Here is a 12,001-nt window from a genome sequence, read left to right on the forward strand (position 1 = left end):
TCTACCTGGAATGCTCTGCCCTAAGATATTTCCATGGCTTGCTCTCTCACCTCAGGCAGGTTCCTGTTCAAATATTCCCTGAAGCCTGCAGGACGAAAGAGGACTTCCTTGATCTCTCTTTCTGAAGTAATATCTCTTATAATGTGCTATTCCCTTAGCTTGTTTTATTTGTGTGCACAGCACTTTTCACTAACTGCTATTACAGTGTGTATTTATTTATTTGTCTGTTTATTTTCTCTTTCTTACCCCTTCAGAATTTAGTTCCATGAGAGTGGGAACTTTGTTGTTCACAGCTTGATCCTCAGCCCAAATTATGAGATCAGAGAAGCCAGACAAAGCCGTGTGAGATATCCATAACGCAATTGCATATGATTTAAAGTATTCAAAAATTCAGTTGTATGTGATTTTTTACAACTGTTAAGAGTTGTATGGTCTTAAGAATATGAAACAATACAAGATTCCATCAAGTTCAAAGATAATAGGTTTATAGAAAAATATATTTCTGTATCTGAAGAACAAAAGCACTTTAAATCAACCACTTCTATCAAGTGGTCAACAAGGAGTTGCAGACCTCTGTCAATAGAAACACACACACACACACACACACACACACACACACACACACACACACACTTAAACCCAGGCAGTTAAACTTAATAACTTAGGAAACGAATCCATGTATACATTTTGAAACCCATGATGTTGCATGATATTGCAATAATTAAACAGGATTCAGTGAATTTTATCAAGGTTGTGGGCAAGTATCTGAGTATCTGAAATATCAGTTCTTAAAAACAATCTCAGTTCATTGGAATGGTTGTTTCTACTTTATGTGTGTTTCTATATTTTAACATCATAATAATTTGTAATTAAGCATAGAAAGTTTTAAGACAATCAAACACACAACCACAACCAGAAATCTGTATTTGTTATTTAAAATATGTTCAAGGTTTAAGAAAATGTGTTCTATTAGAGTGAAAGATTAGATTTGCATCACATGCTTTTCTTGAGTGTTTTTCCTTCTTGATAATGCATGGCAGTTATAGAGTCTGATTTTCATGTTCGTATCCACATTTACACTACAAACTTTCGATTAAAAATGCTATATCTTAAAATCAATGATCATAACAATGCAAATTACTACATTTTATACAAGAAGAGAATTAAAATTTGAGAATTTTCTTTTCATGCCACTTGCATAAAAGTATTAATAAAACTCCAAATTTTTGTTGATTGATTGTAATTTTCTAAAGAATTTTTAAAAAATATTTCCTCACTTTTATATTAGTAAATCAGTGTTATAAAATATTTTTACATAATTTTTCCCTTCCAAGTTGTAGAAACAATATCATAAATGCATATTTTATCTTCTTAGTTATGAATGACAATATGACAATTATTCTGGCAATTTTGTAAGGAACCAAACAATACAATTCACAACAGTCAATAATTTGAAAAAAATCTTTGATGAGTATAATGGACTACTTTATTGTGTTACTTTGCTAGGCCTACCACAAAAATGTACCATAGACTGTGTGGCTTAAACAACAGAAATGTATTTCCTTATAGTTCTGGAAGTGAGAAGTTCTAGATCAAGATGTCAGCAGAATTGGTTTCTTCTAAGGGCAATTCTTCTTGGCTTGTAGATGTCTGTCTTCCTCTGATATCTTTACATGATCTTCTTTCTGTGTGTGTCTGTGTCCTAATCTCCTCTCTTAGATGGACACCAGGCATATTGGATCAGAGTCCACACATATGACCTCATTTTACCTTAATTACCTCTTTAGAGGCTCTATCTCCAAATACAGTCAAATTTTGAAGTATTGCACTTAGGACTTCAACATATGGATTTGGTATGAGGGACAAAATTCAGCACATAGCTCTTATTGTAAGGGGAAAAATCTTTTAACTATTTGTGTTTATTCCTCACATTTTACCTACTCTTTGAAATAATAATATCTATCATTATCATTAGAAAATGGAAAACTTACCCTCTGTAGTGTTTTATGAAATTATTCATCTCCCAATGATATGTCATTCAGTGCAATGTTTTAACGCCCTTCTTTCTACCATTACTTTATTCACCATTGTACCTTCCATGCCTCTAATGATAGCTGGCACCCATTAGGGGCTTCATGAACACTATTTATTTATAACACAGCTGTCATACTTTTCCTACAGTGTAATCTCTCTTTTAACTTCTTGACAATGTGGTTCCAGGTCCTCCTAATGTATATATATTTTTTTGCAGCAAACTTAAAAAATATAGACAACACCAACAAATTCACAGAACAATTGGATGATAGCATTTACATTGCAGAGCATACCGGATTTGTGTGTGTGTGTGTGTGTGTGTGTGTAAAAATCACCATTAGACATTCCACAGCCTTCTCCCAGATTCTCCAGTTTTTCTCTCCCCAGACACTCTTCCCTATGAAGTTCTTGGGAATTTCTTTCTTCCTCTCATCATCATCTTCTTCTTCATGATGCTGCATAACTGTTTTCTTCAAAGGAAATCTGGAGTAAGACTCAGTCTAGCTTTCGTGTCAAAACAGGTCTACCAAAACCTCTCCTCAGGCAGGGGACATGAGAGAGGGTTTGTTACTGCTCCATGTCTCAAACCTTAGCTGGGAAGACTCAAATAGCAGAACCTGACTCGATCTTCTGGAAGATGGAATCATCTGCAGGTTTTTTCATTGATATGTCTGGTACCCAAGATGGGCTGACTTGAAGACTCAACTCATCTGGGTGTGTCAGTGAGAGCACAAAAAGCAGCCTCATCTTGAGTTGGGCTTCTCGATGCATGGGAGCTGGGTTGCCAACATGAAGATCAGAAGAGAGAGTATTTATAAGGCAGATATTCCAAGATACCAAGGTAGAAGCTGCATGACTATTTATGACCTTGCCATGGAAGCCACATCAGGTCCCATTTTTTATATTCTACATAATCTATTCATTGAAGCACAATGTATTCCATGGCTTTATGGGGGAGACGAGGTCACATTGTAGAACACAAAAGATATTTGGGAAAAAACAAACTGCCATGGTTATTGTTATAGCTACTGGCAGGTTGGGAAGGGTTTTGAGTAAATGCATTGTTTTGGGGGATTCTAAGTCTTTCTACAGGAAAAAACTCTGAGAAAATATTAATAATTAGGAACACTGGTAGGTAACTTGCCATGTATTCACACATCTCAGTGGAAATTGTAATATTGCAACTTTGCATTTACACATTGTTAATTAATAGATTTTCTTTCTGAAATCTTGACAACAGCACAAAATACCATTTGTTGCTACTTTTTCAAATGATAAATTGGGTTGCTACAGATTTTCATTAAGGTTGTTATTAATATCTCCTATTACTGCAAGCTTCTAAGTACTTCATTTGTAACATCACTGGTGGTTCTTTACTTACATTTTATTAGGGTGGCTGGCTGGAAAGATAGAGCACTCCATATGCAATAGAGATAAATGATGGCAGAAAAATGGATTCTGAATGTCACTTGAAAAACCACAATTCCCTTCACCTAGTTAAAACCCTAGAATTGGCCAAAGTTAATCATCAACTGTTCTTTTTTTAATGTTTTTCCTGTCTGGCCTACTGAACAGAAAACAGTAAGACTGTTATCCCTTTGGAAATCTCTGTTGAAACCTTTTCCTTTTCTAGGGTGAATGAGAGGCATGCACACACACACATAATTTTTTAGTTTGTCTGGGTTATTTTGCTCCTGTACCTATTATCAGAATGCATCAAATTTTCTCATGTCTGTTTTATTATTTTTTGATAACCTTTATGGAAAAATTATTTTTATATCCTTACTAATGTTGGAGAAATCTACTTAGCTTAACCAATAATCACGTTCTGAACATGATTATTTGTATCCAAAGTATCCAAAAGTATCCAGTTTCTGTATGTAGGGCAGTTTTCAATTTAGTTATGGACACCAAGCACACACAGTCTATCACCCATCATGGCAGCAAAAGAAATGTGCAATGATTAACATTTAGCAAAACTATATAGTTATTTTATATGTGAGTCAATTCCCTATAATAAATCTCTCTATATATGTATATAGATACATATATAAAGATATCTTATTTTTATATATGTATATGCATATCCATAGAGATAGGGAGAGAAAGATTTATTATAAGGAATTGACTCACATGATTGTGCAGGCAGAACAGTCTCACAATCTGCTGTCTGCAAGTTTCAGACCCAGGAAAACGAGTGGTGTAAATTCTAGTCCAAGTCCCAAGGCCTGAGAACAAGGAAGAACACCAATGAAGCCAGTCTCTGTCCAAGGGCAGGAGAAGGCCACCAATGCTTCAGCTCAAGCAGTCAGGCAGAGAGAGAAAGAGGAAGAGAGAGAGAGAGAGGGGGAGAGAGAGAGAGAGAGAGAGAGAGAGAGAGAATTAGGGTTCTCTAGAGAGACAGAACTAATAGGATAGATGTATATATAAAGGGGAGTTCATTAAGGAGTACTGACTCACATGATCACAAGGTGAGGTCCCACAGTAGGCTATCTGCTTGGCTGAGGAACAAGGAAGCCAGTCTGGTCCCTGAATCTCAAAAGTAGGGAAGCCAACAGTGCAGCCTTCAGTCTGTGGTTGAAGGCCCAAGAATCCCAAAACTGAAGAACTTGGAGTTCAATATTTGAGGGAAGGAAGCATCCAGCATGGGAGAAAGATGGAGGCCAGAAAACTCAGCCAGTCTAGTCTTTCCAGGTTCTTCTGCCTTTTGTTTTATTCTGGCGGTGCTGGCAGCTGATTAGATGGTGCCTAACCACATTGAGGGTGGGTCTGCCTTTCCCAGTTCACTGACTTAATGTTAATTTCCTTTGGCAACACCCTCACAGACATACCCAGGATCAATACTTTGCATCCTTCAATCCAATCAAGTTGACACTCAAAATTAACCATCGGGGGGAGGGGGGGAAGAGAGAGAGAGAGAGAGAATTCTCTCTTCCTCTGCCTTTTTGTTCTATTCAGGCCCTCAAAGAAATGGATGAAGCCCACCCGCATTAGAGGAGGCATCTACTTTTCTCAGCACTCCAATTCAAATGCCAGTTTCTCCTGAAAATACCCTCACAGACTCACCTAGAAATAATGTTTAGCCAAATATTTGGGTACCCTTGATACAAACAAGTTGACACATACAATTAAACATTGCAAAGTGTCATTCTGACATTTACCTCCACTAGTGGGAAATGCACCACTCCTTGGGGGAGCCGATACTATCAGCTCCTGTTATTCTTCTGCTTTACCTCCCTTTTCTTTAAGAACTTACTGAGTCAGCAGAAGCCAACCTCCTAAGAGTCAACACAGCTCAGTGGTTAGGAGCTTGGGATTTGAAGTCAGTCTGCTTGATTTTGACAATTGCTTTTATTTCATTTATAAACCTAGAAATTTGGATAAGTTGTATAAACTCTTTGCCTCCATTTTCTCATTTGTATTAGGAGGATACTAAAATACCTACTTTATGGAGTTGACATGAGGATAAAATGAGACAGTCTATACAAAGTTAAGAGCAAAGTGATTGGAACATAACAACTGCCTAATAAGTATTGGTTAATATAAAACCTAAAAAAGGTTTGGTTCCATCTCAGTTCCCGAGACAATCTAAACTGGAAAAATAAAGCTGTAAGTAGCTTCAGTCTCCATCCATCCCTATCAATATTCTCTATGTCCAGGGTCAATACAAAATATTTTACTCTGTGATATAATGAGTAAAGAGAAAGTGAATGGGGAAAAAATAAAGATATATTAATCAAAAAAGTTTATTTCTAGACTATTTACATGAAAGGTGTCAAAGAGGGGTGGAGACTACCAGTGAAAAGTTTGACGAGGCCCTGGTCAGACGACAAAGCAGGGTTGATGGGTGATTAAGAACTCAGGACTTAAGGTTAGTCATAGCCTGATTCACATCCTAGTTCTACTTCTTTTCAGTGTTTCACTTTGGGACAAGTTGATTAATTCAAGCCTTGGTTCCCTCAAATATTCAAATATAAAACGGGATAAAATAATAAAGCCTATTTCATAGGACTAGTACAAGAATTTAATGAGACACTAACTGTAAGCTGTACAGCAGAGCATCTCTATAGCATGAAGAGAGCAAGGTGGGGCATTGACTAAAATATTCAGAGCCCTTTGGAAGAGACATCCAGGAAAGAGATGCGGGAAGTGACAGGGGTCTAGACGCCTTGTTAGAATTGACTGATTAGAACAATGGCCCAGGTTCCTGGATTCAGGACTATTGCACAATTGACTAGAGAGTAAAAGGCTGCCTGAGCAAGAGGAACAGTAAGTAACCTTTATCATAGTCGACTTTTGCTCCAGCAGCTTTCTTCTCTTGAAAGTTCAAAGCAAAAGTAGAGGTGTCTGATGCCTTCAAGCTTTTCAGAAGTTGAAGCAAAACTACATCCTCCATCTTCTTCCCCTTTAACTGCTTATAATTAGAATATGATTACCTTGTTTTGGCAATCATCATGCGTGTCACTTAAGATTTCTAGTGCCTTTTCTCATTTGGTATTTCATATACAAATACATTTCTCTCACAAACACTACTTCATGGCAGTTCAGTCCTCGTGGTATAAATAAAGAAAGAAAATGGGTACTTTGCTCAGAAAAGCTTAGAATCCACTGGGGGAAGACTGCCAAATAAACCATCACCACTAATAAAACCTGGAGGTACGTCCTGTAAGAGAGGCAAGCATAGGGAAATTTAGAGACACATTCAAACCCAGATTTGGACGTGAGGAAACGAAAAATGTAAGAAGATTTTCTACAGGAGTGAGTCAAAGAAAGGGGTGGCTATTTCATGAGGGGGAGGGAAGAGCTAGAGGCATGATGAGATGTGAGAACATGGTGTTTGGGGGAAACTGAAAGGATTTGAACAAGTTGAGCAGAAAGTACAATAGGAAAGTTGAGAGGAGAAATCAAAGGAGTCAGCAGGAACCAGATATTGTAGGTACTGATGCTTTATGAAAGGATTTTCTGTGCCAACCTGAAGAGGATACAGATTCATTGAAAATTTTATTCTTACCAGGACAGAGAAGGAATATGATCTGACTAGATTTAGAAAGCCCACAATGACAGATCAGACCTGTGTGAAAGCACCTTGATTTTATAGTGATTGCTTAGTTTACTTGCTGCCTGTGGAAGGGATAACAATTCAAATTAGTGAGAATGTAAAGTAGAAAGTATATGTACAGGCTGTGTCTATCCTTGCTAACTAGCCGTAAAAGAAGTACATAATGAAACTAAGGGGGAAAAGACTAATAATGAGACCAAAACCATCTGGAGAACAGAGAAAATGTCATTCTTGGGTGCTTAAAGGAAAAGAACACAGGGTTGTAAAAAAAATAGGCTTGGGGGAAATTAATAGAGAGCTCTAAAGAAAATGAAACATTGGAATAAGAAAAGTACAGAAAACAGAATAAAAGCCTAAAGCAAAAAGATGTTTTACTGAAAGATGGACATGAAGCAGAAATTGGATGATCCTGAAGTGTAAAACCCACCCTTAATTGAATAAAAAAAAGAAAGGGTAAAAAAGCACTTTGTCAATTCATAAGGAATCTCAGTTTTTCATTTGTCTTTTCAAACATTCTGTAACATGAAGTAATCTAGTTAGAATAAACATGTTTGTTACAGTGTTATTTTCTTACAAACAAAATGGTTCCTTTAGTAAGTTAAATGTACTACAAAATATTAAGTTTTTTCAAAAGGATTTACATGTACTTTGTTGTGTGACACTTAGTAATGGGTAGAATCATTAAAGGACTTAGTTCTGGTGGGCAGCTATAAGTTTAAAACTCATCTGAAACTAAATTGTTTAGCCCTTTCATTAGAAACATAAAGATAACAATTTTTAATGAGACTGTCAATGTCTTTTGATACAATTGAGTTAAGAATTCTCTGAGCCTTCCAAAGGCATTGTGAATACTACAATGTCTAAGCACAGCGGATGTGGGTGGGAGGGGGCAGCGGGTAATTCCATTTGTTGTGTGGTCTGAAGAATCTAGAAAGGTTCCAAATTCTCTCTCTTGCTAAGGTTATCAATGCTTGAAATTGTATCCTGAGGAACTCATTTTTGCCGGGAGAGGGAGGGAAACCAAGCAAGCATTTTCCAATCCTTGCTGACTTATTTAAAATCCAAATATTTCTTCATGTGGTTAAGGCCTTTATTTATTACTATGGTGGATTTAATCATTATGGAAGCATAGAATTATGAAGGTATAAATAAGCTTCAATATCTGAATTCACATATCTCAGCCCAAGCAGTTTAGGTAATTTGTCCAAGATGACAATTGCAGACACAGAAGTAGTTCAGTTTCTATGCATTCTGGTTGGCAATGGTTAGCTGTTCTTTTCTGAGAAGCAAGGGCGAAGGGCCTGAGACTCTTGGCTTCCTGCAGAGACAGAAGGGATGGAATGGGAGAAGGTGGAAGGCAAAGACGGAGGAGGAATTTCACCTCCTTTTCAGTTTTGTTGCCTGCCACTGGCCTGTGAACATGTAGAGGAAAAGAGTAGTTTGGCATAAACTCTACTCAGGTTTTAAACCATTTCCTCCCAAACAACAAGTATTGACAATCTTTAACTTGGTATATTATCTATTTCAAAAGAGATAAGCTAACCAGCCCAGGAAGTTCTTTTGCTTTTGTATGAGTTTCTCAAGCAACAAACTTCCTCTGCGGCAGGGTTTCGGAACTAAATACAAGACTCAGGGAATAAAGTTGAAAGTGTTTTCTCAGTCTTTTCTCCTTCTCCAGCTGCGTTCTCTGATTAGCAAGTTAGCATTTGGAACTCTTACTCTCTGAATGACCCTTAGATCTATTCCAGTGACCAAGAAACCTGCAGTTTGTTCCCTACCCTTTTAAAGTGCCATTTCCATGCTTGGAAAACATTTCATCCATCAGTGGTATCAATACTTTTCAAGCTGTGAAAGTTGGCTGTCCTGGCTACTTGCACAAATAATGAGCATGCAGAGCTGACCCAAATTCTACTCAAGAATTGCATAATATAAGCTAATCATTACATAAAGAGTGCATTGAGTGTCTCTATAATGAATTCTGAGAGATCTACAAAATAAAATGCACACCATGTCAGCTCTTCAGTATTCCCTGTTAGAGTTAGGAAAAACAATTTTCTTTTAACTTTTTCAATTTTCCCCCCAATTTCTCTTCTAACAAAGAGTTGTAGTGCTTACTGTAAGAAAAAACATAAACAGTAGATATTAAAAGTATAGTAAACCTACTAAAAGAGCTCCCATAGTAAATAATTTAGTAATTATTTAGTAATGAATAATAACTAAAACCTTGATATATATCTCGATGTTTCCATAATTCTGGATATTTATAAGAAATGTGTACAGACACACACACACATACACACATTTACATAACTCAGCTCATAGCATACATTCTGCTCTATAACCTGAAGTTTCCCATGACAATATGCCACGGCATGAGCATCTCTCTGTTTCAAAAAAAGAAAGAAAACCACATTATCATTTTTAATGGCTATATATACCATGATTTATCTAGGCACCTATTGATGAGTATTTAGGTTGTGTTCCAATTTTTCACTATTATCAACTATGTGGTAATGTTTTTGGATGTGTACACATTTGCACTGATTACATAGTAGCTCAGTTTGCAAGTCTACTGAAATTAAAAGAAAAAAAGGATTGGTTTAATTCAATAACTTTTTTTTCCCCCCCAGAAGATATTTAGTTAAAGGATTGGCTCATAGAAAGTCTTTCCTAGTCTGATTTTTGGGACTGCTTTCTGCCAGAAGTTGCCCTTCAGTGTCCTGTTGGGGCTGCCTTAGTCAGTCATCTTCCTAGGACCAGGGCATTTCGCCTGGGTTGTGTGAGTGGCTTAATGGGAAAGAATACATGACTGTCTCCCAAGTTTGATGATTGGGACAGTCTGCCACAGCTGCTGGAGCCAACACAAGGACTCTCATCTTCAATGGACACCTCACTTGTGGCTTAGTTTTAGTGGATGCAGAAGCCCTGCTCCAGCATCTTGGTCATGCAGTAGTGTGGCCTGTGCTTGGCATTTTAGCCAGTTTGCATAGTTTCTAGTACTGGTACATAAAATATTGAGTAAACTTTCTAACTTATCTTCACTGAATAGCCACAATAGCCCAGGTGCAGTTGAAATTCACAGCCACAACTTCTAACAGTGAATTCTTGGCAAATAGGCCTTATCCTGAGAAGACATGCAGTTTTAACAAACCCAGTTCAGTTGTGGTGTGTAAATGTCCCTCTCAAGTTAGTTTTCTTTGCCTCAGACATAGTCAATGATTGGAAGGAATCTACACTTTCAGTCTCAGCACACACAATTCACATGCCAGTCTTGCATTCCAATCAGCTCCAAACATTTTATGATCACAAAGCCTGAAACTTGACATTTCTATCTTGTGTCATTTTGGAGAGAAATGTCCTCCTAATTTCTTTTTCCCATTCTAAATATAATCCTGCCCACTTGTGGGAGCTCAGCTCAGATTACACCACACTGAAGAAGTCTCTCCTAACCATGTCCTGCTCTGGGTGCTCTTATTTTTGGCATATTGTTTTTACTACTCACTTGATAATTTGAATAGAGTGATTCATTCATTCTTTCTGTCTCTCTTTACACACACACAAACACAAACACACATGCATTCCCATGAAAGCACTACTGTTCTAGAATAGTGTCAAAGAGTAAAATTTTTGTACCCATCATTCCGTCCCTCCTTTTCCAGCCAATGGTCATTGAATCAGGTACAGCATATACACTTTATACAAATTGGCCTAATTTGAGACTCTACTAAACATGTAGAGAACATATATATATATTGGATTAATTAGCTATGGATTCCGCATTTAGCAAGTCTTTCAGACTCAGTGGTTGAGTCATGTTGTATGACAGCCACAGCAAACAGAGCAATGAAAGTTGAGAGAAGATAGAGGGAATAAGCAGACATGGAGGAGCCTGTGGATGGCATTTACCTCCTGTTCCCCTCATTCCCCACCTTGCGCGTGTGCATGCACTCATACACACACGTGTGCACACACACACACACACACACACACACACACACACGCTGCTTGGGTCCTGAGAGCTCTGTACTTTCCAGCTGCTCAGTGAGCTTGCCTGCCTTGGATTCCGGGAGATGTTCCTATTTTCACACACATTACTCTTTACTTAAAGCAGTTTGGATAGCTTTCTGGTCCTTGAAGCCAAACAATTTGTGTCTAAGAAGCAAGGCATTCTCTGTCTTGAAGAGGCATTTCTAAAAGTCTTATGAGTGAACACTTAGTCTCTATACACTCTGCAGCTCTGTTAGTTTTGTTTGTTTGTGTCGCTGCTCAACCCTTTCCTTGACTGCCTGTAGAGCATGGTCATAGTGTCTGTGAGGCCCCGTCTCCTCCTCTATACACTAGGATTCCCGCCTTTGTGATCTGGCTCCAAATCTATGCACTTATTTATATACAAATTGCTTGCCAACTTAACTGGTGACATTTTATGGACTTAGCGAGCTCTTCTGATTCAACGTGTTTGCATTATTACAGACACCTGACGAAATAGGACCTCAAGTGGCAGGAACTTCAAGCACTGTGGTGAGGGGAGAGAAAACAATTTAAAAAGGCTTTTCCTTAGATCCCACCAGAGAGGCAGCTGCTCTTTCTGCCTGCATTAGGGATTCCCTCAGCACATTTTAAGACCGTGTAAATCTGTCCAGGAAATACCACTAATACTCTCAAAGTAAAAAGACACTTAAAAACTGTCCTAGTTAATGAGACCATAGATATAATACCCCACATTAGTGACTCCAAATATATACAGCTATGTTTTCATAATGTTCAGCCTTAAACAAAATCACACAGAGCAGTCTGTTTGCTGGGTAGGTTTGATTGCAGGATGATGAATCAAACACTTGGAAAGGGTCTTCCTTTTTGCTAACCACCAATTAATGCACACTGGGTATAATCCTGGACAAAACATACCTC

The 12,001-nt window shown here is 37.7% G+C and overlaps 1 long non-coding RNA gene across 3 annotated transcripts in view; it reads right to left on the minus strand.

Moving 5' to 3' along the window:
- Positions 1–12,001, minus strand: part of LNCPOIR (lncRNA periodontal mesenchymal stem cell osteogenesis related) — a 68,396-nt gene that overhangs the window by 38,357 nt on the left and 18,038 nt on the right. For 2 of the 3 annotated variants that reach the window (NR_183489.1, NR_183488.1), the window contains one exon: positions 8,166–8,411. The exons of the other annotated variant lie outside the window; for it this stretch is intronic. This is a non-coding gene — a long non-coding RNA (lncRNA periodontal mesenchymal stem cell osteogenesis related). Of the gene's footprint in view, positions 1–8,165; positions 8,412–12,001 lie in introns of those variants that run through there. 3 annotated transcript variants of the gene reach the window in all.

The sequence above is a fragment of the Homo sapiens genome, chromosome 6, assembly GCF_000001405.40.
Source record: "Homo sapiens chromosome 6, GRCh38.p14 Primary Assembly".
NCBI lineage: Eukaryota > Metazoa > Chordata > Mammalia > Primates > Hominidae > Homo > Homo sapiens.